Here is a 26,138-nt window from a genome sequence, read left to right as displayed (position 1 = left end):
TTCCGTATCTCCCAGAAAGAGAGGTCTAGTGTCAGGGAAAACCCAGATTTTCTTGGCTTAGCCCACCTGACAGCTAATCACTGGAAATGGGGTGGGCCGGTAGAGTCCTTTGGTCAGGTTTTGTGTCAAGAGAGGGATGTGGAAAGATGGGAGAGAGGTAGCAAAACTGGCCTCAATGGAACTATGTAAGTTAACATAGAATGGCAAAGGAATGTTTCTTCCAAGGAAGAAATTCTAGGGAAGGAATAAAGTGGAGGGGAAGGCAGCAGTTCTCAAAGTTTTGGGGTCAGGATTCCTTTACACTCTTAAAAGTATATTGAGGGCCCAAGGAGCTTTTGTGTATGTAGGTTATATCTATTGGTATTTATCACTAGAAATTAAATCAGAAATACTTAAAATATTCCTTAAAAGCTCACAAAATATTGTTATAAATGCTTTTATGATAAGAAAATTTCTAAACCCAAGGTAGTACAGTCTTACGTCCTTTGCAAATTTCTTTGATGTTTGATATGTCATTTGTACCTGCATTCAATTTATTGTGTGATATTTGCTTGAAAAAATGTGAACAAAGGACAGTCTCATACAGATAGGCATTTCAGATCATTATGGATATTTCTTTTTGCTTTCTTTCTTTTTTTTTTTTTTGAGATGGGGTCTTTCTCTGTCTCCCAGGCTGGAATGCAGTGCTATGATCACGGCTCACTGGAGCCTCATTCTCTGGGGACTCAGGTGATCCTCCCACCTCAGCCTCCAGAGTAGCTGGGACTACAGGTGTGTACTACCCCACCTTGCTAATTTTTTGTATTTTTTGTAGAGATAGGGTTTTGCCATAGGTATTCAAATAGAAAGTTTTGTTTTTGTTTTAGTATATAAAGAAATATAACTTTCCATGTTGGAAAAATTTTTAAAACCTTTTTTTAATTTTAAAACTCATAAGCAACCATTGTTGAGAAAATTGGTAAAGTACAGAAAAGATAAAAGAAAAAAATTAAAGTCTCCCATAATTTCTCTATCTAATATAACCACTATTGACTGTTGACATGATGGTCATTTTCTACCAGTATATAGTTTTTCTTTGCTATTAAAATACATAACCCTTACACATATGCTTAATAGTTGAGGTCATATTCTCTATAGTTTTATATTCTTTTTTTTTTTTTTTTTTTTTTTGAGACAGAGTCTTGCTCTGTCACCCAGGCTGGAGTGCAGTGCCGTGATCTCGGCTCACTGCAAGCTCCACCTCCTGGGTTCCCACCATTCTCCTGCCTCAGCCTCCCCAGTAGCTGGGACTACAGGCGCCCGCCACCATTCCCGGCTAATTTTTTGTATTTTTTAGTAGAGATGGGGTTTCACCGTGTTAGCCAGGATGGTCTCGATCTCCTGACCTCATGGTCTGCCCACCTTGGCCTCCCAAAGTGCTGGGATTACAGGCGTGAGCCACTGTGCCTGGCCCTTTTATATTCTTTTAAAAAGTATTTACTGTATTTTCCTGTGATGTCATAGTCTTTATAGAAAATTTATCATTATTTTCAGTTGACATGATTGTTTACCTAAAAATATCCAAAGGAACCAACTGAGAAAAACAATTTTTAAGATTACTGGTTAAAAGTTCTTTTATATAAAAATCAATAGCCTTCCCCAGTGTTAGCTATAATCACGTAGAAGATATAGTGATGAAGTATTTTTTCAGGTATTTCAGCAAAAATTAAATACCTAGGAATAAACTTAGATGTGCAGGACTTTTATCAAGGACAGGACAAAATTTTGCTGAGTGGAATGAAAGATTTGCATTCTATGTTCCTGGATGAGCAGATTTCATGTTATAAATATGTTAGTTATCACCATGTCTTCATATTAATTTGTAAATGTAATTTCTGCTGGGCACAGTGGCTCATACCTGTAATCCAAACAGTTTGGGAAGCTGAGGCGGGTAGATGACAATTAGCTGGGTGTCTGTGGCACACACTTGTATTTCCAACTACTTCTGAGGCTGAGGTGGGAGGAGCACTTGAGCCTGGGAGGCAGAGGTTGCAGTGAGCCGAGATCATGCCTCTGAACTCCAGCCTAGGTGACAGAGTGAGACCCTGTCTCAAAAAAAAAAAAAAGAACTAGAAAAGTGTGTGTGTGTATATATATATATATTTCATATTTTATAAATATTTATATATATAAATTGTATATATACATTTTATATTTTATATATAGTGTGTGTGTATTATATATATACACACACACACAAATTTCAGTACAAATTCTGGCAGATTTATTTTTGACACTTGACAAAACGACTCTAAAATTTGTTTAGAAGAATAAGTAATAAAAAGTAATAAAGTATAGACTCTTTCAACCAGATAGTAAATAAAATATTGTGGACTATCCCTGGGCCAGACAGATAAAGGCAATGGAAGTTTAGAACCAGAGTCATGCAAACGAGAATTTAGTATAAGGAAAAGGTGGTATTTTAACTTAATACTGAAAAGATAGATTATTCTGTAAATGGTTTTAGGAGAACTATTTGAGGAAGTCTGAGTCTTAACTCCAATTTTTGTCAAAATAAGTTAGTTGGTTTAAACACATCTATTCTTAAAAATTAGAACAGAAGAATATTGGTTTGAAGATATTTTAAGAGTTAAGGCTGAGGCTGGGCACAGTGGTTCACGCCTGTAATCCCAGCACTTTGCGAGGCCAAGGTGGGAGGATTGCTTGAGCCCAGGAGTTTGAGATCAGCCTGGGCAACACAGCAAGACTCTTTCTCTCTCTCTCTCTCTCGATATAGATATACATATAAATATACGTATACAAATAGAAAAAAAAAAGAGTTAAGTTTTGTATGGAGAGCCATGAAGATAAGAGGTAAAAATTAAAGGCTTGATGGACACATGTTTACATCTCCATCAAGGGGGTTGATGGGAAAGAATGATAGACATAGCTCCATTACTGCTACCTCCTTTTAGGAAGTTGCTTCTGAACATCTAAAGATATCAGTTTTATAATAGAAATGAGTTATTTTTCAGTGTCTAAAACATCACATGAGATACATACATACATGCATACATACATAAATATGTTCATAAAGTTAAATGAAATAGGATATAAAATTGGGCCTAGTGTTTAAAAGGTAAATATATTTACATGAAGGAGAAAACAACTCACCTCCCACTCTTAGAGCCTCTGCCAGTTTATCATAGCCTAGTTTCTTGAGAGAATAAGCTACATGTCTTCACCTTTTTTCACTGAGCTCATTATACTCTGGATTCTGCCTTCATCGTTGCACTAAAATTTATCTCCTAGTTGTCAAATCCAGTGGCTCCCCTCTTAGTCCCCAAATTGACCCCTCTGCAGTATTTTGATACTGTTGATTGTTCCTTTGTTGAAACATTCCTCCATTCTTAATGTCCACCAATAAAGAGTTGGTTAAATAAAAATTATAGTGTGCCGTTTTATAATAGAATATTCTGTTGTTCTGTTGTGGACCAAAAAATGCAGCCAGTCTTTCCATAAGAGCACGTGCAAACTTCTAAGATATATTAAGTAAAAAAGTAAGGCATAAAATATTGTGTATAATCTGACCCCTTTAGTACACAGTGTAAAAACATCTGTGTCTGTGCTTCTTTATACTTACTTTTTTCTCCCCTGGTGAATACAGGAAACTGTGAATAGTACAACACAATTAAAAAAAAAAAAACTGTGTGTCTGCTGCACCAGGACCTGTGATAATTGGGTATAAAAGACAAAAAAGACATGTCCCTGTCCTCTGGGAAGGGACATGATAATCAAATGAGACTTCTGTCGGATTCTTTTCTCCTGTTTTGATCTTATCACCCTTTCTTGGTCTCCTCCGATCTCTTCTTCCTTGTCCTACTTCTTCTCTTCTCATTCTGTGCTTTCTCTGAGTAATCTTTGACTCCCATTACTTAAGTCATGACCTGTGTTCCAGGGACTCCTAAATTTGTATTCATCTCCAGAGTTTCAAACCCATATATCTGTCTGTATATCATATATTTAGGGAATCTCACTTGGAGTGACATGGGTGTTCAAAATGATGATATTTAAATTTTCACGTATCCATCTCCTAGCACTCTATCTAGTCACATATGCCTAAACCTGGGAACTGTCTTAATATTCTTTTATATACACCTGTTCTGACCTCCCCCCAAAACTAGTAAATTTCTAAGACCTGTCCTTCTGAATGTCTCTTACAATTTTTCCTGTGATCTCAGTTTCTTCCTCCCATCCCTCAAATGCTTTGTGTGTGTGTGTGGTGGGGGAAGAGAGTAAAATTGAAATTTGTGGAAAACGTACTAGCCTGTCTGTCTGTCTTTCGAGGTGAAGTCTCCCTCTTGTCCCCCTGGCTGGAGTGCAATGGCACAATCTTGGCTTACTGCAACCTCCATCTCCTGGGTTCAAGCAATTCTCCTGCCTCAGCCTCCTGAGTAGCTGGGATTACAGGCACCTGCCACCATGCCCAGCTAATTTTTGTGTTTTTAGTAGAGATGGGGTTTCATCATGTTGGCCAGGCTGGTCTCGAACTCCTGACCTCAGGTGATCCACCCGCCTTGGCCTCCCAAATTGCTGGGATTACAGGTGTGAGCCACCATGCCTGGCCACTACCCTGTCTTGTTGCTTGGTATGACTCCACTACCCTGCTGCCTCTCTCCCCGTACAGCAGCATAATTTAGGAATCAGAGAGACTGAGGAGGATATATATTATTAGGTGCACTGGCCCAGTCAGATTAACATCTAAAGGACTGAGCCCTGAACAAAGAGTCAGGTTACCTTTTAAGCATTTTGTGTCGGTCATTATGCCGACAAGGTGTCCGCACTAAGTTCAGTATCAGTATGGTGACCTCCTGGGAACAGGGGGCCATCGGGTTGCCTAAGGATGGGAGAACTGGCTCAGGTCAGAAGGGGAGCAGGTCAGAATTCCTGCGCCAATCGGTAGTGGGACTGTGCCTGGGCAATATAGCAAGATCTTGGTTCTTAAAATTCAAAATAAAGAACAGCTCATTCCCCTCTGGGGAGGGGCTGGCTCAAGGTTACACAGTGAGTGTGGGGGCAGAGGCGGGCCCACTGTACCTCCCTTGTTGGGTTGTCTGAGGACCCCTCTGGCCACCCCCCACAGGAGATGGAGGAGGACATCTGGACAGTGAGCAGGAGGCGCCTCGGCCCATGCCGAACATCCCAGGGGACCTGGAGAGCCGGGAGGCCATGGTGAGCCTGACTTTCCCTGCCCCTACTTTGCCACCTTCCTCTGTGGTCCCTCCGAAACCCCCTTATGTTCTTGGTTTCCCCGCCTTCTGACTTCTGTGGACTTTCACTCCTCCTGGGAGCCAGTGGTCAGACACCATTTCACCTGTGACCAACAGGTGCACTCTGTGAGGCCCGAAAGGAAGGGGCTATGCTCCATCTGCCTGCCCCAGTTGTTATGTGTATACCCCTACAAGAATACTCACCTCTTGTCTTCAGGTGGCATTTTTCAACTCCGCTGGAGCCAGTGCCCAGGAGGAACAAAGGGTGTGCTGCCAGCCCCTGGCTCACCCAGTGGCCTCGTCCCAGAAGAAGCCAGAGGTAGCGGCCCCAGCCCCAGAGAGTGGGGGTGAGTCTGTGTTTGGGGAGACCCACCGGGCCCTGCAGGGGGCCATGGAGAAGCTGCAGGTGAGTAGGTCCTGGCATGGGCCAACAAGGGGGGCGGTGGGGCAGGACAAGGCAGGTGACTCCTGACATGTGACCCCATTATTTTGGCTCCACAGCGACTTTATGGAAGGAGAAGGTGGACCTGAAGGAGCGGGTAGAGAAACTAGAGCTTCAATTCATCCACCTCTCAGGACAGACAGACACCATAGTGAGCGAGAGGCTAGGGCACCGCTGGGGGGAGCTGCCAGGCCATCCGAGGGGCCCCAGCATCTGAGCCATGTCCTCCTGCAGGAAAGTACATCAGCCAGGGGGCAGTGTCAGAGACGCAGCACTGGGAGAGGAGGACATCGTCAGGCTGGCCCAGGACCAGGAGGAGATGAAGGTAGGGTGTGCAACATCTCGGTGGGGGTGGGGGTGGAGGTGGGGGTGAACGTGCGTGCCGGCACCGGCATGGCAGCTAACACCCCTTCCTCCAGGTGAACCTGCAGGAGCTGCGGGGCAGGTGTTGCAGCTTGTGGGCGACCACAAGGAGGGGCATGGCAAATTTTGACCATTGCCCAGAACCCTGCTGATGAGCCCACTCTAGGAGCCCCAGTAGCCCAGGAGCTTGGGTGTGCTGACGAGCAGGGTGGTGAGTAGAGCCCTCAGGTGGGGTGGGCAGGCAGGAGCAGGGGAGGCTCGCACTGTGCTCAGATTCCCACCCCCCTCCCTCTCTCTGAAGATCTTTGTGAGGTGAGCCTCACTGATAGCGTGGAGGCTGCACCAGGAGAGGACAGGGAGGGTTCTCCCCACGACAACCCCACTGCACAGCAGATCCAGCAGCTGCTTCCTGTAATGCAGGACTCCCCAGGAGCACCCAGGCATGGGCAGCAACCCCTGCATGCCATTCTTTTTGGGCTCCCGAGAACAGGGAGATAAACACCACCATCATCTGAGAGCCGGGAAGGGGAAGGCGTAGGTGTGGGCGTGGCAAGGTTCCTGGAAAAGAGGGGCTGGAAGGGAAAGGGGAGGAAGATGGAGGGAGAAGCTAGAGCTTCATAGGTAGTGCCTGGGGGCTGTGGCAGCCCTCCCCACCCCACACACACTGGCCTCTCTCATGGCACCCAGGCAGTCCACCCACAGTTCAGACCAATGCTCAACCCCCCCGGCTTCCCTCTTCTGTGGTCACCCCATCTTCCAACCCACTGGCCCAGGGCCACCTCTTGCTTGGGGAGCCCCACCCAACAGCCACCAAGCCTGACAGAAGGAACACTGCTTGAACCAAAATGGTGAAGCTATAAGGGATGGCGGGCTGGAGTGAGCGCCAGAGGCCCCTCTCTGGGCAGTCAGAAAGCCCAGGGTCCACTGAAGGGACCCTGGGGAAGGCAGGGAGGGCAGGTAGCTAGATGCCACTGCCCGTAGACTTATAAGTCTAAGAGGGGAGCCTCAACTGGTTGGCGGGGGGCTGCAGGTTGCATAGGTGAGGCTGGGCCCTTCCTGCTGGGAAAAGCAGAAGAGGGAGACTCCGTGGCAGGAAAGGCAGGTGGGCTCGCTAGGCGGAGCTCAGCTGGGCCAGCAAGCACTGTGGTCTCCTTGGCTGAATAGCACAGGTGACCCCTAGGAGCAACAGGCCAAGGTCCGTGAGTCTGCTGGCTGGCAGTAGTGCTTCAGTAGCGCTGGCCAGGGACCCAGCCTTCAGTCACACGCTAGCAGCTGTGATGGTACCTGGGAAGGAGGGAAGGGGGCTGTGTGTCCTTGCATGGCCTATGAAGTGTGTTGTGGGATAACCGTGTGTATTGAACTCTCAGGCTTTTATCCTAGATCACCACTGGATTGCTGACAGATAGAGGAGGTGGGACCCTGACTATCACCCCTAATCTGCAGTGGATTTGGCTCTCGGCACTCCCAGGCTGGGAGCTGGATACCTGCCCTGGCAGCATGGCTCAGACTGCATGACAGGTACGGCGTGCCCAGGATGATGTGCCCAGGCCTCTGGCCGCCTGAGTCCAGCCCCCCACACAACCCCCTCCAAGCTCCCAGCCCCTACACCATAAACCATGAGCTCTGTGCCCTCTCTGATGGTTCCACATCTGCCACCTTCGGCATGGAGCCTGTTGTAAGAGCCCCCAGGCTCAGCCATGGAGACCTTGAGCAGTGGCACTGAGTCCTGTGGCTGGCAGGGAGGGAAGTGAGACAGCCAGCAGCACAAGGACAGAAAGAGGAAAGAGCAAGTCTGCAGCTCTAGAAGGGAGGGGCAGGCAGCCTGGCTCTGAGGCTCCAGGTATGCCCCCTGTGTGGAGCTGGGGCAGCGGGGCAGGCAGACCATTCATGCAGCAGGCAGTGAGGCATGTACCTACCATGGCTGATGCTCCTCAGGGGCCACTGATAGTGATTCTGAAAGACAGCATCAAATCACATGGCAGGTCCCATGCATGGGTGGGGCAGGCCTGGGGGTGGCGGACACACGCACACGCCAGATTGTGCACACACATGCTGTGAGGCCCCACGGCCCGCATGCACACTCTAACACATGCCCACAAACAACACGCATACGTCGCCCTCTCCGCCACCTCCCGGTGCCCAGCACCCTCACCGGCCGGCACGTGCCGCATGGATCTGGGGCGTGCAGCCACTCGGCACACTGAAGCACATGCGTGGGCAGAGTCACAACACAGATGCTCACCCGCACACAGAGGCATTTGCACCAGCTCCCTGCACACTCGTGCCTGGCGTGCTCAGAGGACCACCCATGCTGCTCAGGGAGACAGGGCTTGCTCACTAATGTCCGGCTGTCATTTCTCCACCTAAGAGCCTTCCATGGCTCCCTACTGCCTACAGCATTGAATCCCAACAAGTCATACTCTTTGGACTTTGAAGGTTCTCCACCCTGTGCCCCACCCTCCCCACAGAGCTCTTCATTCTGTCTCTGTTCCCTGCTTTGGCCAGTGGCTATCCTCATTGTGACCCACACTACACCTCTGCCCACACTGCAGCTCTTTACCCAGTTACCCTCCAGTTCCTCACAACGTATGCCTATCTCCGTCATGCCCCGGACTGCATTGAAGCCAGGCTGCCTTGAAGAAGCTCTCCCAGACTGCCCTTTTCCCCAAGGCAGGGTCATGATTTGCCAAAGGTTTCGTGTGTGTGTTAGCAAGACTGGAGTCAGAGCAGGCATCAAACTTTACATCCCATATGTCACACCTCACCATAGACCTGGGTGCCAAATAGCCTGAAGAGTCTGAACTCACGTTGGCAGTTAGGAAAGTGCTCCTACAGACGCATCTACGGTTAACATAGCATCCCTATGGCCACTGTCTCCCTTGATCCCCACAGCCATTCTAGGAGAAAGGCAGAATGTCATAATTTGCTAAAAGGGATGCTGAGGCTCTGGGAGGGAAAGGGACTTGCCTAAAGCCCCAGGGTGAAGCAGCATCTCTGGACTCCCAGTCCAGTGATCTTGCCCAATACTTTGCTGCTTGCCTATACCCCTCTAACTTGGTCAACAGCACATCACAGGGCAAGCCCCAATCCCTGCTTCATTTTTATATATGGGCGCTGGTCCCACAGCCCCACTCTCCAGCCATTTGGAAACAAAAACAGATGCTATTGTTCTTCCTTAGAGAACGTGGCCAGTGGAGACGGCACACTGGAAATCAGAGTGAATGTTCTTGAAAGAGGGTCACGGGTCAACAAGGCCCAGCCAAAGGATGCAGTAGAACCATTTTCCTTAGAAATCTTTGGGAGTGAAGTAGGCTTCAGCCACTCCCATCCCTGCCCTTGCGGCTACCACTACCCCATTAGTTTAGACAGGGTCGGGCGGGGAGGGGTGTGGAGAAGAAATGAGCTTGCCTGTGGCCCCCAGGCTCCCTCTGTCCTAGCTCAGGTCTGGGTGCCATTCTTTACACTCGTGTGCTCGCTCACGCACACATCACACACCTTGCTGGTCACACAGTCACAGACTCGCCTCTGCTCCTGTGGTCCAGTGGCCGGACACCCCCTGGGATGGCTCAAAGGAGTCAGGACTTGGAAGTGGGGACATCAGGGTAGCTGAAGGAAATCCACACACCCAGAGCATCTCGGAGTTCAGACTCTCAGACCTGAAGTAGGCGCCCCCGGGACTGGGCTAGGAGTTGGACGGAATGGAGGATGGAGGACAGCGAGAAGAAAGGAAGAGAAATGCAAAGTGTGGGCAGCCGCCAAGAGTGAAAATAGAGGGAAGTGTCATGCAAGTGCTGGACAGAAGGCGGCAGGTGGGACGAGCCCCACAGCCCCCTCCTCAAAAACGACCACCTCCAGGACTCAGTGATCCCTGGGGGGCAGGCTCTGCCAGCCCTCGGCCACACGTGGCTCCGGCACCCATGGTCCCAGTGCCTTGGATGGAGACGGCCAGTTCTGGCGGCCAGATGTGGTGCTCTGGAATCCAGTCCCATTTCCTTCCTGGCCACGCCTGTCCAGCGGCCTCTTTGGCTGCATTCAGCCCCTACTTACCTGGGGACCCCGGCTGGGGCACAAGAGCACCAGGGGGGTAGGGCCCAAAGGGATCAGGGGAAGCCTCTGGCCTGGAGGGTATGGGGCACACTTCCCCAAGGGCGGACCCAGCAGGAGGAAGCCCAGGAGCTGGGTCCTGCCGCCCAGGAGCTGGGCCCTGCCACCCAGGCCGGGCTAGGGACATGGCAGGGCCTGGGCATCCTGGCGCTGGACTTGGGCGACCTGGGAGGCACAGGGAGGGGAGAGATGGGCGGCCCCGCCCCAGCGCAGTGCCGGCCACACCCATGCACTGAAGCTCCTCCCTGCCACACCCCAAGGCGGTTGCCGGAGCTTAAGCCCCGCCCCCAGCAGCGAGAACATCCCACCCCTCCCCCCCCCCCCCCCGCAGCCAGTGCTCCTTGTCAAGCTCCCCCCGTCACTCCAGGTGGGAGCCACCCCGGTGAGGGGGTGTGCCACTTGTCCCCAGGGCACTCCTCTGGGCATCCCGGGTGGGGGATTTTGGGGCCGTGGGGGGCAGTCTCTGGTACCTGTGTGCGTCAGGGATGCTCTGCACCTGCAACCAGGTGTCGTCCACGGGCGGGGGCATGGTAACAGTGGTCCTGTTGATGTCACCGATGATGCTGAGCGCCTCCTTCAGCGCGTGGTGCATGTGCAGCATCTCGTCGTGCTGCTGTGCCTGCTCTGCCAACTCCTCCATCAGTGTGTTCTGGTTCCCACATGAGTACATATTGGCCAGCGGCTCCGAGATGATGAACTCCGGGGTCTGAGAGTGGGCAAACAGGGAAGAAGGTTGGGACCTGGTGCCTGTGCCGCCCTGGCTGCCTTGCTGGGCCCTTCTGGGACTGTGCGCTGGACTTGGAGCCCCTTGGAGTATGGCTTTTCACACGGGCTTCTATACCGCTTCGACTGGAAGATCCACCTCCCCACTGCCTTTTCTCACTCAGATGGGGACACCGAGGTCCAGAGGAAAAGACACCTGTCAAATGTCACAGATCTGGGAGGGGACTTAAGACCTATCATGCCAAGAGGACACCTGTCTACTCAGTTTTTTTTTGGTGGGGCGGGGGGCGGTGATAGGGTCTCGCTCTGTCACCAGGCTGGAGTACAGTGATGACTGCTCACTGCAGCCTCCACCTCCTGGGCTCAAAGTGATCCTCCAACGTCAGCCTCTCGAGTAGCTAGGACTACAGGCACATGCCACCACCAAGCCCAGCTATTTTTAAAATTTTTGTGTGGAGACAAGGTCTCACTATGTGGCCCAGGCTGGTCTCGAACTCCTGGGCTCAAGTGATCCTCCTGCCTCGGCCTCCAGGAGTGGGAGTTGGAGTTGATACCTGGATACAGGAGCTCTGTGGGTGGGAGTGAGGCAAAACACAGGGTCCTGAGGTCTGGGGACCAAGCAATGTCCTCTGGTGAAAAAAATCCTGGACTTGCTGGCAGAAGTTTTGCCTCTTACTTGCCATGTGCTCTGAATACATTTACCTGCCCTCTGGGAGCTTCAGTTTTCTTATCTGAAAAATGAGGACACCTGACCCCTTCCCTACCCAGTTCAGTGTTGTGGGACAGGGTTGCTGTCAAGACAATACCCAGTCCTGCCCTCCTCCCTGAGTGGGCCAGGTAGCCCATGTAGCCTCTTCCCGGCTTTCCTGGGTGGCACTGTCAGCTTGGTGCCCATTCAATCTAGTCCTTCATCTTGCTGGAGCATGGGGAAGCTCTGAGTAACATGGGACTATAGAGTGCAAGAGGGTTGCTGATGGTCTGCGTCCTGTGCCCTCCTCATTCCTGGGCATTCTTGACAAAGGCTCCCAGCAAGTGAGGGTACGCAGCAGCTGTAGACACCAACCTGATGAATATCTCATTGTGGGAAGGGCACCATAGCAGGAGTGGAGCTCCAGGGAAATACAGAACCGAGGTCTGGGAGGTGCTGATGTGAGAGGCCCAAGAAACCTCGGCTTTGCACTTGCTGAGTACCATCTGCACCTCTCAGGAGGGAGAGCGCCAGGCTCAGGAGGTCCTTGCCGAAGCAAGGGAGCTTGAAAAGGGGGCTGGGGTGGGCTCTGCCATTTTCAAGGGCTGACAGGGGTCCCCTCTGGAGGTACTTGGGGCAGTGCTGCGGGCCGTGGCTCCTGAGTGACAGAGTCAGCTCTGCGCCCCACAAGACCGCTCCCTGCCCAGAACTCACTGTGATCATGTGCTGGGTCCAGATGCTCACGCAGCCTCCTGATGGGGGCATCAGGTGTGCTGCCTGCCCAGGACGGCCCACAAGAGTCTGCCCTGCCCTGCCCTGCTATGGAACAACTCCCATTCTGCCTTTGGGGAGAGGTGTTCATTTAAACCATGACTGGGCTGGCCCCCATGGCACAATTACCACAGAGAGTCTGCCACTACCCATGGCTGAGAGCTCTAGTTCTTCTCTGAAGCCACCAGGACAGATGAACAGTGGCTTCCCCCTTTTGGCCGACTCAGCTGCCTTTCATCAGCTCATCTGCTCCTAGGATCCACTCTTCCTCTGGCTGGCACCTGATCTGAGCCCGAGGCTCACACCTCTGCCCACAGGCCCCAGCAGCTGCTTCACCTCCGACTCCATCCCCCACCAAGCACTGCCCCTCACCAGCTACTGGGGTGCCACTAGTGCCCCTACATGGTTCTCCCTCTCCAGACCCTTGGGTCCAGCTCTAGCTTCCTTTGGGAAGCCACACCCCAAGACCCCAGCCCTGCTCTAGGGCCCTGTATCCCCGACTTCCTGCATTCTTCTCCCTCCTTCTGGGAACATGAACTTGCCCTGCCAGCCTGATGACGCCTAGAGGGCAGGACACCAGGTCCTGGACCATGGCAGGCCTGGGAGTGTCTGCTGCCGGTGATGCTGGAGCTGGTGCCCATGTCCACATGATGTCCATGGCACAGTGGCCACCTGAGGCTGGGCGCATCTGAGTGGTGGCTGCAGAGTGGGGCCCTTACCTCTGCCTGAGTGAAGTTCACCAGGTCCTCCCCTGTGCTGTCATGCTGGGCGTGGAAGAGCCGGCCTAGCTGGAGGCCCCGCACCACATGGTAGAGCAGGAGCTGGGGGTCGGTGCCTGCTGGCTCTGAGGCTCTGGCTGCTGAGTGGCTGGACGGACTCTGCCAGAGGCAAAAGGGGCCATCAGCCTTTGTGATCCAGGCCGAGGCCTGTGGCTGCAGAGAGGCAGTGTGACCCTGGCATGCCACCCTCAGCTCTGCCCCAGCCCCCTGCACCCAGGAATGCCCACAATCAGCACACCCACCTGGGCAGTCAGTGTCTGGCTGCCCTCCAGCGAGTGAAGCACTTGCTTCTGGGCCGTCACTCAGAAGCTAAGTGTCTGGAGGAAGTATGTTCACCGTCAGAGAGGCCAAAGTGGATGCCTCTGTCCAGGGCCCCTGGGGACAAGGGTGTTGGGTCCAGCTGGCCTGAACTGGCTCCCCACCTCAGGGTGCCCCCGTGGGCAGCAGAAACCTGGGGCTCGGCCCTCAGCACCCACCTCTGTGTGAGAACAGCACGAGCCCACCATCCAGCTGGGTCTGCATGAAGCTGCGCACCTCAGTGCCCGGCACCGCCCACCGCACTACCCACCCATTGCTGGGCTGCTTAATGGTGTACACCAGGTCCTTGGGCCCAGAGTAACCATCCATGCTCCTCAGAGCCTCTGTAGGGATGGGCACGGTGGCCCCCTCCCACGTCTGGGGACACAGGCCTGTGAAGGTTCTGCCCTGCCACACTTACCCACCCCTTCCTCCCCGGCCCTGGGCTGCCACCAGGGCTCCAACCCCACTGAGGCTCAGGCCCTCAGGTGGCATCAAGGCTGGCGCTGCTGTGGCTCCCCTGCACAAATGGCCTCCCTGCATTCACCTTCCCTGTCACCCCAGGGAAGGCCACCCTCCAGGCCCAGCATCCCTGCTCTTCATCTGTCCTAGTCCTGTGTGTCCCTCAAGACCAGCTTGTGTACCCAACCCAGGAAGGCCCTAGCTCTTACCCTCACCAAGTTCTCACCCCCAGAAACCCCCAGCGCTGACCAACAGTGCTCCTTAATCTGTCTCACTGGTGGGGCAGCAGTCTCCTTTCAGACCCTCCATGTGTGCCTGGCAGGGGCTGGGCACAGGTGGGAACAGTGATTTTAGAAACGAGCACTCCTTCCAGCTAAGGGAGGGGTGGGAGGCGCAGAGAGCTGAAGCCTGATGGTTGGCACTGTCCTGCAGCACAGAAGCAGTGCTGGGATGGGCCCAGGTGCTTCCAGAGCAGTTACGGGCCCTCCTCGTGTTGGGCAAAGGGGGCCCCTTTTCAGGCCTCCCACTAGCAAGCAGAACAGGCACCCGTTCCTGAGGTCCTGGTACCAGTCTTGCTGGGTCAATTACTTGTGGGCAGTGCTGCAGTGGGACTCACATGCCCAGAAAACAGCCCTCTGGCATTCCTGGGCTTCCTCCCCTGGCCGCAGGGAGCCCTCAGGCCGAGCCTTGGCAAGAGGGGCCATACTGTGGGAGGCAGGGCCCCATCACTGGGCTCCCGGAACAAACACGGGTAGATGGCACCACCTGGTGGCCGCACTGCCACAGAGCCATCCCAGCCTGTGGTTCCAGGGTGCTGTGTCCCACTCTTCTGTGGCCTCCGCACCATGAGGCCACCCCCTACAGGCACATCCTAGACCACCAAAGCCCCCCGGTGCCCCATGTCAGAGACAGCCCAAGTCAGCCCTCTTGCGGAACCTTCAGTGGCTTCTGCTGACTGGGGAGGACGCGCCCCAGAAGCTGGGGTTCAAAGCCCTGCCACTTGGGCTTAGTAAAGCCATGCCCTTTCTGTTCCACCAGAACTACTTTTGCAATCATGGAGAAGTTCCATCCCATGTCTGGGCCTCAACTTCCACCTTTGCCAAATGGGGGCCCTGCTCTGCTGTGGACAAGGGGCAGGAGTTTGGGAAGCCAAGCTGAGGCCTTCACTTGCTGGGGTGAAGGTGGGAAGCTTAACGGTCCCACCCTGACGCCAGCCCTTAAGGGCTTGTAAGTGATTCTTTCAGGTGTTCTGGTCCTAAGCCACAGGAGAAGGAACAGCAGAGCCACCCATGGCTGCTCAGAAGTCTGCCTGCCGTACTTGCAAATGTCCAATAACAAAACCTCCCGCCTGTGTTCTATTTCAGCACAATCTCACATCTCTCCTTCCAACAACTGCGTGAGGCACACAGTAGTGTCCTCATTTTGCAGAGGAGGAAACTGAGGCTCAGAGGGGGGGAGATCTGTGCCGGGAAGTAGGGGACATTGGCCTCTTTCTCAAAGCAGACATTGGGGGTGGTCCCAGGAATATGCTCACCTGCAGGCCTGAGTTTGTATGAGGTCGGGGGTTGGCCATTGACAGGCAGGATGGTGACAGTGAAGGCCACAGGATGGCTCTGGCGGTCCATCTCAGAGGCATTAGCCATCAGGACAAAACCGTCAGTGTCTTGCTCCCATCGTGCAGGTACTGGATCAGATGCTCTTCCACCTAGGGGCAGGCCCAGGGCTGGCAGTCAGACCCCAGCAGCACCCTTCATGTTCTGCCTTTGGGTGCAGGAAGAGACTGACCCTTTTAGGGCCTCAGCTTCCATTGGTGGAAAATGGGGACCATAAGTTCTGGTTCCCAGAGGAGTTGTGAGGAAGAAAGGGGATATTTTATTTTATTTTGAGACAGAGTCTCTCGCTCTGTTGCCCAGGCTGGAGTGCAGTGGTGTGATCTCGGCTCACTGCAACCTCTGCCTCCCAGATTCAAGCGATTCTCCTGCCTCAGCCTCCTGAGTAGCTGGGACTACAGGTGCGGGCCACCACACCCGGCTAATTTTTTGTATTTTTAGTAGAAACAGGGTTTCACCGTGTTAGCCAGGATGGTCTTGATCTCCTGACCTCCTGATCTGCCCACCTCGGCCTCCCAAAGTCCTGGAATTACAGGCATGAGCCACAGCGCCCAGCCCGAGATACAGCATCTAAAGCATAGGTCTTTCTGAAATGTGACTCCCTGTCTCCTCTCTGTATAACCCCTGGACTGGGAGTCCCCGGGGCTCCCTCCACTCTGCCCCCAGAGCTGGGCTGCAGCCCCTGGGCCTCTCTCACAGCCGTACCTCTCTCCAGCAGAAGGTGCTGAGGGTCCTGGCTTGAGGCCCATCCTCCTTCTGCAGGGCCCCATGCCGGGGTGGCTCCAGCACCTGCAGGCCAAGGCCCGGGAGAGTGGGGAAGTAGGACCTGGCAACGCGGAGCAGTGGAGGGGCCAGGGTGCAGCTGCGACTGTGCCCCCTCTACTGCTGAAGTTTTGTGCCCCCAGTGGGGATGACAGCAGGCAGCACCTCCAGCTCCACGTGACGTCCTCAAGGGGAGCACCCAGGCCGAGGCCACATCCAGCGAGAAGGCATGGCTCCGGGCCTCAGGGCGGGAGTGCAGGTAGAGGATCCTGCCTGTGTCCACTGCCTCTTGGGAGAAGCTCTGCACGGGGTCCAGGCTGGGTGGCTCATCTGCCAAGATGCCACGCAGCACCATCACCAGGTAGCCGGCACTCGGTGGGCTCTTCACTGAGAAAACGATGTCTGCTGGCGGCACTGCCTCCTGGGCTACCTGGTTAACAGAGGTCATGAGGACTCACAAGGGAATGCGCAGAGGGGTCTCAGAGGGGCCCACTGTGGCCCTAAGCAGCCAGAACAGCCTTGATCTTGCTCCACTTATTTCCCCAGATACCACTGCTCATTTAGTGACACACACACATGTGGGTTCACACACACAGCAGCCAGACATGCAGCTGGTCATATTTTTTGTTTTTTTGAGACAGGGTCTCACTCTGTCACCCAGGCTGGAGTGCTGTGGTGTGATCACAGCTCCCTGCAGCCTCAACGTCCTAGGCTCAAGGGCTCAGCCTCCCAAGTAGCTGGGACCACAGTCATGTGCCACCATGCCTGGCTAATTTTTAAATGTTTTGTGTAGAGATGGGGTTTCACTGGGTTGCCCCAGCTGGTCACATGTTAATACCCACCCCACACATGGTTACGGGGTGTCGGTCACACAGCTTGAGATGCACTCCCTCAGGGAAGTGCATAATCACATGTCCCCAGACTCAGTGACACAGACATATGAGTTCATCAGATGCCGATGCAGTCACACAGGTACAGGTACACATGCGTGTGTGCACACGCACACAGGCCCCCTGCTCAGGATCTGTTCAGGCCTGTGGCTGGTTTGCTGGCAGCATCCTCCCCAACCCCTGCTATTACCACCCAGGACCATCAGAGGGTGCCCTGCCCCACCCCACCCCACCCCTCCTAGAGGCACAGGCACCCCCAGCACAGGCCCTACAGAGCTCACACCCCAAAGGCCACATGGGCTCCCTCACCTGATGGGCCATCCACAAGAGGCTAAACTGCCTCCAAACTCACATTCCTGTTTTGTGCCTTCGGCCGGAATGTTCCTTTTGCATGGAATACCACTCCCCATTCTCTGCTCCTAATGGCCTGTACTCTTCAGAGCCCGGCCCAAACACTGCCTCCTCCCATGAGGCCTTCCTGATGCCAGATCTGCTGGCTCACCATGGGCCCCAAGCTCCAGATGCAGACCAGAAGGGTCTCCGAAATAAGCAGTGTGGAAGAGTAAGGCTGAGAGCGGGCAAGGACTGGCCTGAGGTCACAGGGCATGTCAGATCTCTGGAAGGCCCGTGGCTGCTCTGTGAGGTTCCTGGGTAAGCAGAAGCCCTTGACAGACCCTCCTGGTCCTGGTCTGGGCTCTGAGAAGAGAGCAGGCTACACAGGGGTCTGAGAGGCAGCGGCCTGTCTCCACGGCCAGCAATCCCAAAAGTTCAGGACCCGTGATGCCCTCCCAGGGAACTGACTGCAATGCAGATTCTCGGGCTCCACTTCAGAGATTCTGTAGGGCTGGGTGGCGTCCAGGAATCTGCATGCTCAGCCATGCCATGGACATGAGTGGGCACCAGCTCTAGAGGCACACACCACTCCCAGGAGGATGGGTGTACAGCAAGCTCCCCAGAAACTCTTGGGAACACAACATATATGGGAGCATATCTGAGGCACGTGCACACACGCAAGCTGGGACCACCACAGGTACAGCCCAAGTCACATGTGTTCCCGGCATGGAGGCTGGGAGGAAGGCCCTCTACCTGGTCCACACCCCGCTCACCACCTCCAGCTCCTCACCTCCAGCTGGTCCCTTCTGATCTCAGCTGCCTCTCCCTGGAAGATGTAGATCTTCTTGTGCTGGGCCAGCTTCAGTGGGGCTACTGGGCCCTCTAGGGCAATGGTCACTTGTAGGGTGGCATCTGTGTGCACTGGTCCCACATCCATTGAGAAGGCCAGGGTGTTGCAGGAGCTGAGGCTGCCATTGTGGCCATAGGGAACAGCCCCAACCAGCAGGTCCTGCTGAGAGAAGGCTGTGGCTGGCTGAGTGGCTTGGAGCAACTGTCCCCAGTGAGGGCTGTCTGTGACGTGGTAGTGGGCCTCATCCCTACTGCAGATGTTGAGGTTGGTGCCCAGGTGGAGCTCGGCCATGTTGATGGTACCCTGGCCTCCTTGAGGAACCATGAGGCCGGAGCCATTGGCCACACAGAGGTAAGGCTCCAAGGCCTGCACCTCCAGCACCGTGATGGCCTGGTGCTGCCCATCGGACACCTGCAGCGGGATCCAGCCGTGGTCAGCCTGAGTGTGTGAACAGGACTCGCCTCTTCCTGAGGCCCCTCCTGGATGAAGCGGCAGATGGGCTGCATGGGCTCATCCGTGGCCATGATACTGCCAGAGAGGAGGTCCTGGTGGGTCAGCACCAGCTGGGCCTCAGCAAAGCCCGAATCAGCATTGCTGAAGGCCATGTTGTCTGTAGTCAGCAGCCGCCACCTACCCCAGGCCACATGGAAGACGCAGCTGATGGTCTGCATAGGGGCGTGGTCATTCACAGGCTGGATGGCCACTCAGAAGACACCCCATACCTCCTCCCAGGCCACGTCACCACTGCTCTGGTCCTGGTGGCAGCAGGAAATGGGATATCATCTTCTGTGATCTCGGAGTCATCATGCTGCTAGACCAGCTGGCCATGCATCAGGTCTCCATTGGTGAAGGATGTCACCATAGTGATCTTGTCCTGTGTCCCACGCCAAGTCAACCTCCCATGGCGGGGCTGCTCCATGACCTCATAGAGGTACCTGGCACTGTTGAGACTCTTGATGAAGAGCTGGTCAGCAGAGAGGACACACTCACCACCCTCGGGCACCATGAGGACAGGCATGTCTGGGTCACCGCCAATATGGATGGAGAAGGTACAGAGTGGGGAGAAATATGGTGGAGCTGTGACATGGAAACAGAAGGTGTCCTCCACTGCCACTGAGGCACGTGCCATGGCCCCATAGGTCACCTCTGCAGCCTGTACGTCATCCTGGGTGAAGCCCTGACCGTCTGACATCATCGTGCCCTGTAGTTGAAGGTTGCCTTTCCTGGGAGCCTGAACCACCTCACAGTGGAAGGTTGGGGGGCTTGGGCCTGCCTCCTCCAGGGTGGCCTCCAGGTGGGCTGTGGTGAGGGCCTCCTGCTGGGTGTTCTGAGTGTGCAGTGGCTCCAGCTGCAGCATCCACACAGTGGCTCTCTGGATGGTCACTAGGAAGGACAGATTGCTCAGGATTTCCCAGCTCACCTGCACCTGCAGATCCAGGTTCTCCACGGTGTCCTCGGTGTAGTGCTGTGGGTCAGTGCTCAGGTATCTCACGTGGCCCTGCTCCACATCCTGCTGGTGGAACGCCTGTGTGACCCACCACTCAGCATCCTCCACCCCACCAGCCCCCTGCTTCTGCAGCTCCCTGAACGGCAGGCCTCCGGTGACATGGAACAGCACGGTCACATCCTGCCCCACGGCGCTGGTCTCCACCAACAGGTTGGTAGGCAAGATGGGCATGGCAGAGCCCTGGGCCAGATGCAGCCCTGTGCTGCGGTGGATTTGTATGGCCAGCTGGACAGCCACCACCTTCAGCATGGCCGGGGGGCTGGCCTGCAGTCCATTGCTGACCCGGAATGTCAAGTCCTGTGTAGGGCCACCGCAGTGGACATAGACTAGGCTGCCGGCCTCCAACTCCCAGCAGGAGAACTCAGTCACCGGCTCCCCAGGCTGGTCTCGGTGCTCCACGGGGAGGCCAGAGGGGGTGCCAAGGAGCTGGAAGGTGAGGCCCTCACAGGTAGAGTCCAGGTCATAGGCCTGGAGAACCTCAGGCCCCAGAGGCTTGTGTGTGTGTTCCAGGATCACCATAAGGCTGCCATGTGGGAAGATGATGTGGGGTGGGTCATTGACAGGGTTGACCTGGATGGGCAGGAGGTCTGTTTGGCCCCTCCGCAGGCATGAGGGCATAGGCACCCAAGCCATCACTGACACCTCCAGCACCAGCTGGTCAGAGGTGTCCTCAGGGCCATCGTGGATGAAGTGGGCCTTGCAGTTCACCACGTCCAGAAGGGTGAACATTTTTCATGCCTGGGCACCCAGGACATCCAGCTCGAGCTCGCTGTAGTGTGCCCCTCAGGTCACGCTGAACAGCACCTGGGATTTACGCAGTTCAGCCTCCATCAGTGCCAGCATGGGCTGCACATGCCACCACTCAAGCCAGGCTGTGCCACCCTCGGTCACCACCACTGCACTGATAGCAGCTGGATGAAATTGGCAAAGACAGGAGGTAGCCCTGGCTCAGGCACGCATGGCTCAGCTAGCTCCACGGACAGCCAAGCCTCGGGAGCCAGGGTGGAGAAAGCTTCATAATGGCCATAGGCATTGTCCTCATACTCCTCCACCTCCTCCAGTCTGCAGCCAGCCACCATGTTGTGCGTCAGCAAGGCTTCCCACAGCCCCTGCCTCTAGCCATTGACACTGAGGTCTTCCATGCAGCCAGCCCAGCAGGGAGGCATTGGCAGCCCCTGGTGTCAGGCCTGAGCGGTGTTCCTGGAGGTGACGAGAGGCCTCTGCACCAGCTCCCCAAGAAGGAGACTGTCACGTGGCTCCAGGTAGCTGAGGACTCCTCGGTTCAAAGTACATGTGGGGTACTGGTCCATGGAGATTTCTAGCTGGTGAATGTTGATGTGGATGCTGACCTTGTGGGGCTGTGCGTCAGTCACAGGCACACTGTTGAGGAGCAATACAGTACCCTGGCCCTTCTCAACCATGGACCACAGGTGGCCCTCAAATATGTCCACATGGATGAAGTCCCCATGCCAGCCTGCTGCCTGGAAGGCCAAGGGTGCCTGCCAGCTCTGTGTGGTGAGTGTAAACTCCAGGGTTCCTTCATCCTGAGTGCCCCAGGCAGGCAAGGCAGCCAGAGAGTGGGACCCAGAGAAGCCCAGGGCCACATCGTCATTGGCAGAAAACTCTTCAGCACAGCCCTCATGCTTATTGGGGGTCAGAGGCTGGAGGAGTCTGCGGCCATTGAGAGCGGCTGCATGGAGGCAACCCCTCAGGGGATGGCTGGTTCCCCTCAGGTAGGGCAGGCCAAGTCTCCCAGTGCTCCCAACAAAGAGCCCATAGGGGACTTCTAGGGGGGCTCCCAGGACTACAGAGGAGGCATTCAGAAACCCATTGACTGACAATGTGGGCCAGTCCTCTGAGACAGTCAGAACTGTGGTGTGGGGGACGGAGTCACTCAGTAGAATTTCTGCTGGGGTCTGCAGCCTCAGCTCCTCCTGGCCCAGGACAAGCCTGACCTGAGGAGAGACGGGGAATGGGAGATGGGGGGCAGCACTTTGAATCCATCATTTCCCTTATAAAAGCACAGTGGGTTCCCCACAGGGGGCCCCAGAGCAGAAAACCTAGGACAAGGGCCTCTGGTGCCACTCCTCTTGCCTTCCTGCCATCTCTTTATTCATCCTCCAAACACTCACCAAAGGAAACTCTGGGCCAGGCCTGGATGGGCTCTGGGGACCCTGGTGTGAATCAGATGTGGTCCTTGCCCACAAGGAACTGACATATAGCAAGATGCTCTTCTAGAAACCCAACCTGTATTTTTAAATTCTCCTCCTCTTTCCTTGAGTGAGAAGCACCAGAAATATTGTCTTGGAATCTAGATTTCACCCCTGGAATAATGGGTAACTGAGAATCCGTTGATCAGTCCCCCTAAGTTTGGCAAAGTTTCTCGAGGTCACTGAAGGAAGCCAGGCTAACTGTTCAGGGACAGGGAGCCCAGGCAGATGCTCTGTGTTCTGGAAAAAAAAAAAAAAAAAAAGCTGCCTGACCTGTGGTGGAGGAATATCTCAAGGAGAGATGAAGGACATAGTTCTGTCACCATGACATTGACACAAGAAATGGCTCTGGTATGGTGCTCCCAGATGCTAGAATAGGTGATGGCAGAGTATGGGAACTGCAGAACCAGAACACTAAGAACCATGATCTTGGAGTCCTGGTATGGTGCATCTCTGTAGGGATGTGGCATCACTACCTGCACAGCTCAGCAGCCATCAGCACCAGACTGCACCACATAGGTGTTCAACAGTGACACCTTGTGGCAATGAGCAGCAATGACAGCAGCAGACTGACCAAGCCCTAGTCCTCTTCCCACTGGGGTGTGGAAAGAGATGGCTGCCCCAAATTTGTTAATTTGTTTTTTTTTTTCCTTCTAAAATAGAGATGGGGTCTCATTGTGTGGCTCAGGCCAGTCTTGAACTCCTAGGCTCAAGTGATCTTTCCACCTTGGTCTCCCAAAGTGGTGGGATTATAGGCATAAGCCACTGCACCCAGCCTGCCCCAAATTTGGACTAAGACCCTGGGTTCTTAAACTCTTCCTGGTATGGGGTAAGACTCAAGTAGGAGCCACAAGACTCCTTGATAATAAAGCTTGTGGTGTCTTGAAGGATGAAATGGAAAAATGAAGCTGAGGCAGTACTGGTGCTGTTACTCTCATGGACAGACAGTGGTGCTGCAGATAAATTGGTGCAGTGCCACCAGGATGCGCAGGGGTCATGGGGGCCCAGGAGGGGGTCTCGCCGAGGAGGAGGGGATGCCCACACTGAAACTTCAAGGAGAGACTAGAGTTCGGCAGGTACAGGGAATGGGTGGGTCACACACCTGGCAGGAGGAGTGTGATGACCAAAGGCCTGGCTGCAAGTGACCATAAGATGGCCAGGAACTGAAAGCAGTTCAGTGTAGTCAGAGCACAAAGGGCCAGTGAGGGCTTGTGGTGGGAAACATGGTTGGAAGGAGCCGGTGGGCAGAGCCAGTTCATGAAGGATTTACCATTTCTGAGCTGCTGCTGCCCATCCCACAGTGGAGAACTTGAGACCCCAAGAAAAGTGACTTACACAAGGTCAACAGCCAGCTGGGGTTCACTCAAAGCTAGACAAGGAATCTCGCCCCAATCCCAGGGGGACGTCACTCACCTGCAGGTGTCCAGAGTAGAGCTGCAGCAGGAGGTGGTCAGCTGGGCCTGCTGCCAGGAGAAGGAGGGCTTCGGGTTGGGACATGGAGAACTGCAGCTGCAGGTCTATGTCAGTCAGAGCCATGGCCACAGTCACCTCCAGGTGGTTCTAACCAAAGAAGGAAGCTGTGTGAGAGAGGGAGCTGTGGTCAAGGCTCAGATTCTTGCCTGGAGGAGGCGAGGTGCTGCAGGGAGGGATGGGTGGGTTGCAGAAAGGGGTCCGTGCTGGTGCACCCTCATGGTTCTGCCATACGGTGCTGCCTCTGAGCACTGCCCAGATCCCAGCATTTCCTTGGTCCTGGCACCAGAAGGCACAGCCTCACCTTGTGTCCAGCCCAGACCTTGACTTGGCAGGAGGTCAGACCCAGAAATTCCCAGCAACTCAGGTCTCCTCCTTGGAGGTTCCTGGAGCCAGAGGCCTCTGCCAGCTCTGACTCACCTCCCCTGGGCCCCAGAGGAGTCTCCCTCCCAGGTCTGGCTCCCCGACCTGGCCCAAAGGGAAACATCACTGGCCTGATCACCTGGCTTGGTGGTCACAGCCCCGAGGAATGGAGTTTCTGGAGAATCACCCCCAGGCCAGATCGATCCCTGCTCAGATTCCTTCTCCTAAGTGCCCTTGTGCTTGGGCTCCTGTGCAGCACCTGCTGTGCCATGCCCCACCTCCATGGGTTGGCTGGGGCCACGGCTGGGATCTGGGGGTGATGTCACTGCAGCCCACCTATCCCTGCTTCTCCCTCAGGCCATTCTTCCAGCTGCCATTGAGGGTGGGGGCAGGAGCTTATTGGCCTGAGTTTGCCAAGGAGTAAAGGCTCTCAGGCCAGATGGGGACCATATGCAGTGTCAAACCAAAGTGGGCCCACACTTCCTCCACTACCCCTGCTGTTGCTTCCTGCTAGAGAGCTATTCACAGTCCCCGCTGAGCAGTCAGATCCGGCCCCATTGTTTCCACCGTGGCCAAGGAACCAGGGATGAGAACAGCTCAGCTCCCAACCTCCCCAGGCCACCACTCAGTCTGAGGCTGAAGACAGGGCCTAGAAGGGGCTGAGGGTCTGCTGAGCAGGCCAAAGAGGGCCTCCCCAGGCAGAAGGCCATGTCTGGGCTTGCCTGGGGTTAGTGGTTCTTATGCAGGGCCTGTTCTGTCCCACAGTGTGACTCCTCCTCTTTTGAGTTGCTGCTTCCTCCAGGCAGTTTCCCCAAATTAGCCTCCCTGACTTCCAACCCGATGCCATAATTTCTGGTCTATGCCTTTTGTGGTGATAAGAGCCAAATATAACTTTAACTTTGCCTGCAGATGTCCAGGGCTGGGGGGCAGACAAACACAGGTTAAAAACTGTGATTCATCCCTGTTGGGTTTCCCTCAAACCCCAAGAACAAGCACAGGCTGATGGCCTTGATGGGGTGATCCAGCACCGACCTCACATGCACTGGTCCCTAGCCAGCCTGAGCCAGCTGCCATCTGCTCGAGGAAGTAGCTTCAGCCATTGGAGGAGTTGGAAGTTTGTACACCCTCAGGGCAGCCAGCCCCACCTGGAGGGATATCCAGGAAAGATCCCGTAAGAGCCCCTCGGGTTGAGTTAAATCCCCTCTAGTTATCCCCTCCTCCTGCCAGCACTGCTGGCAACACCAGCACCTTGGCTGGGAAGCTAAGGGAATCAAGTAAGCCCCGCAGACCATATGCGCTGGGGTGGCCCAGCAGTCTCAGCAGGCACAGCACAGCTTGGTGCCAGCAAGAGACAGACCAGGGAACTGCAGGTGGTGGCCAGCTACTGGGGTGCCTTATCTGCAAAGACATTGATTCCTAAGAGCAAAACACAGCACACTAAAGTGAGGGTGGCCATAGCACAAGGGGTGGGGGCACATGGCCCTGCAGGATGGAGCCACCACAGTCACCGGCTGGAACGGCTCACAGCAGCTGCCAGGAGCCAACTGTTGAATTTTCAGGAATTTTGAGAGGCAGGTGATACTGCCCACAGTGGGAATATTTATACCAGGAAAAGAGGCAAATACTGAAAATCAGGGTTCCCTCTCCCCAAGAAAGCCCTTTGCGAAACATTTACCTACCCAGCACCCACGGGGAAGGGGGCACATCTCCCTGTGCCTACCCACCTGTGTTAATCAGGGTTCCCTAGAGGGACAGAACTAATAGGAGATATAGACAGATATAGATATAGATAATAGATATAGATATAGATAATAGATATAGATATAGATATAGATAGATATATAAAGGGGAGTTTATGAAGTATTAACTTACACAATCACAAGGTCCCACAATAGGCTGTCTGCAAGTTTGAGGAGCAAGGAGAGCCAATCCGAGTCTCAAAACTGAAGAACCTGGAGTCCGATGTTAGAGGGCAGGAAGTGTCCAGCATGGGAGAAAGATGTAGGCTGGGAAGCTAGGCCAATCTTACCTTTTCATGTTTTTCTGCCTGCTTTATATTCGCTAGCAGCTGATTAGAAAGATGGTACCCACCAGTATTAAAGGTGGGTCTGCCTTCCCCAGCCCACTGACTCAAATGTTTATCTCCTTTTACAATGCCCTCACAGACACTTCCAGTAGGTCAATACTTTGCAGCCTTCACCCCAATCAAGTTGACACTCAGTATTAACTGTCACACCACCCTTGCACTAAAGGTATACATACACC

General features: G+C 54.3%; 4 pseudogenes across 2 annotated transcripts in view, besides 1 other annotated feature; 2 read left to right on the top strand and 2 right to left on the bottom strand.

The window, feature by feature from the left end:
- Positions 1-11,594, top strand: part of GOLGA2P7 (GOLGA2 pseudogene 7) — a 31,321-nt pseudogene extending 19,727 nt beyond the window's left edge. Inside the window, exons 2-7 of the transcript NR_027001.1 lie at positions 5,467-5,655; positions 5,751-5,842; positions 5,926-6,016; positions 6,111-6,265; positions 7,422-7,572; positions 9,234-11,594. The product of NR_027001.1 is annotated as a GOLGA2 pseudogene 7 (transcript). The remainder of the gene's footprint in view (positions 1-5,466; positions 5,656-5,750; positions 5,843-5,925; positions 6,017-6,110; positions 6,266-7,421; positions 7,573-9,233) is intronic.
- Positions 1,148-18,594, bottom strand: LOC440300 (chondroitin sulfate proteoglycan 4 pseudogene; annotated as a pseudogene). The gene is made up of 8 exons (NR_033738.1): positions 18,264-18,594; positions 16,194-16,680; positions 15,413-15,583; positions 13,060-13,218; positions 10,629-10,864; positions 9,578-9,736; positions 7,971-8,007; positions 1,148-7,338 (listed from the first exon to the last, which is right to left on the bottom strand). The product of NR_033738.1 is annotated as a chondroitin sulfate proteoglycan 4 pseudogene (transcript).
- On the top strand, positions 4,742-4,988 carry RN7SL331P (RNA, 7SL, cytoplasmic 331, pseudogene; annotated as a pseudogene).
- On the bottom strand, positions 18,263-23,622 carry CSPG4P11 (chondroitin sulfate proteoglycan 4 pseudogene 11; annotated as a pseudogene).
- Positions 24,828-25,770: an enhancer, noted in NCBI's record as "H3K27ac-H3K4me1 hESC enhancer chr15:84853424-84854366 (GRCh37/hg19 assembly coordinates)". NCBI's record gives its function as "activates a minimal SCP1, AML or CMV promoter by ChIP-STARR-seq in naive H9 embryonic stem cells {active_cell/tissue: H9 hESC(naive)}" and the evidence as "EXISTENCE:reporter gene assay evidence [ECO:0000049][PMID:30033119]".

This window comes from Homo sapiens, chromosome 15 (genome assembly GCF_000001405.40).
Source record: "Homo sapiens chromosome 15, GRCh38.p14 Primary Assembly".
In the NCBI taxonomy this organism is placed as follows: domain Eukaryota; kingdom Metazoa; phylum Chordata; class Mammalia; order Primates; family Hominidae; genus Homo; species Homo sapiens.
This window is presented reverse-complemented; position numbering and strand designations above follow the sequence as displayed.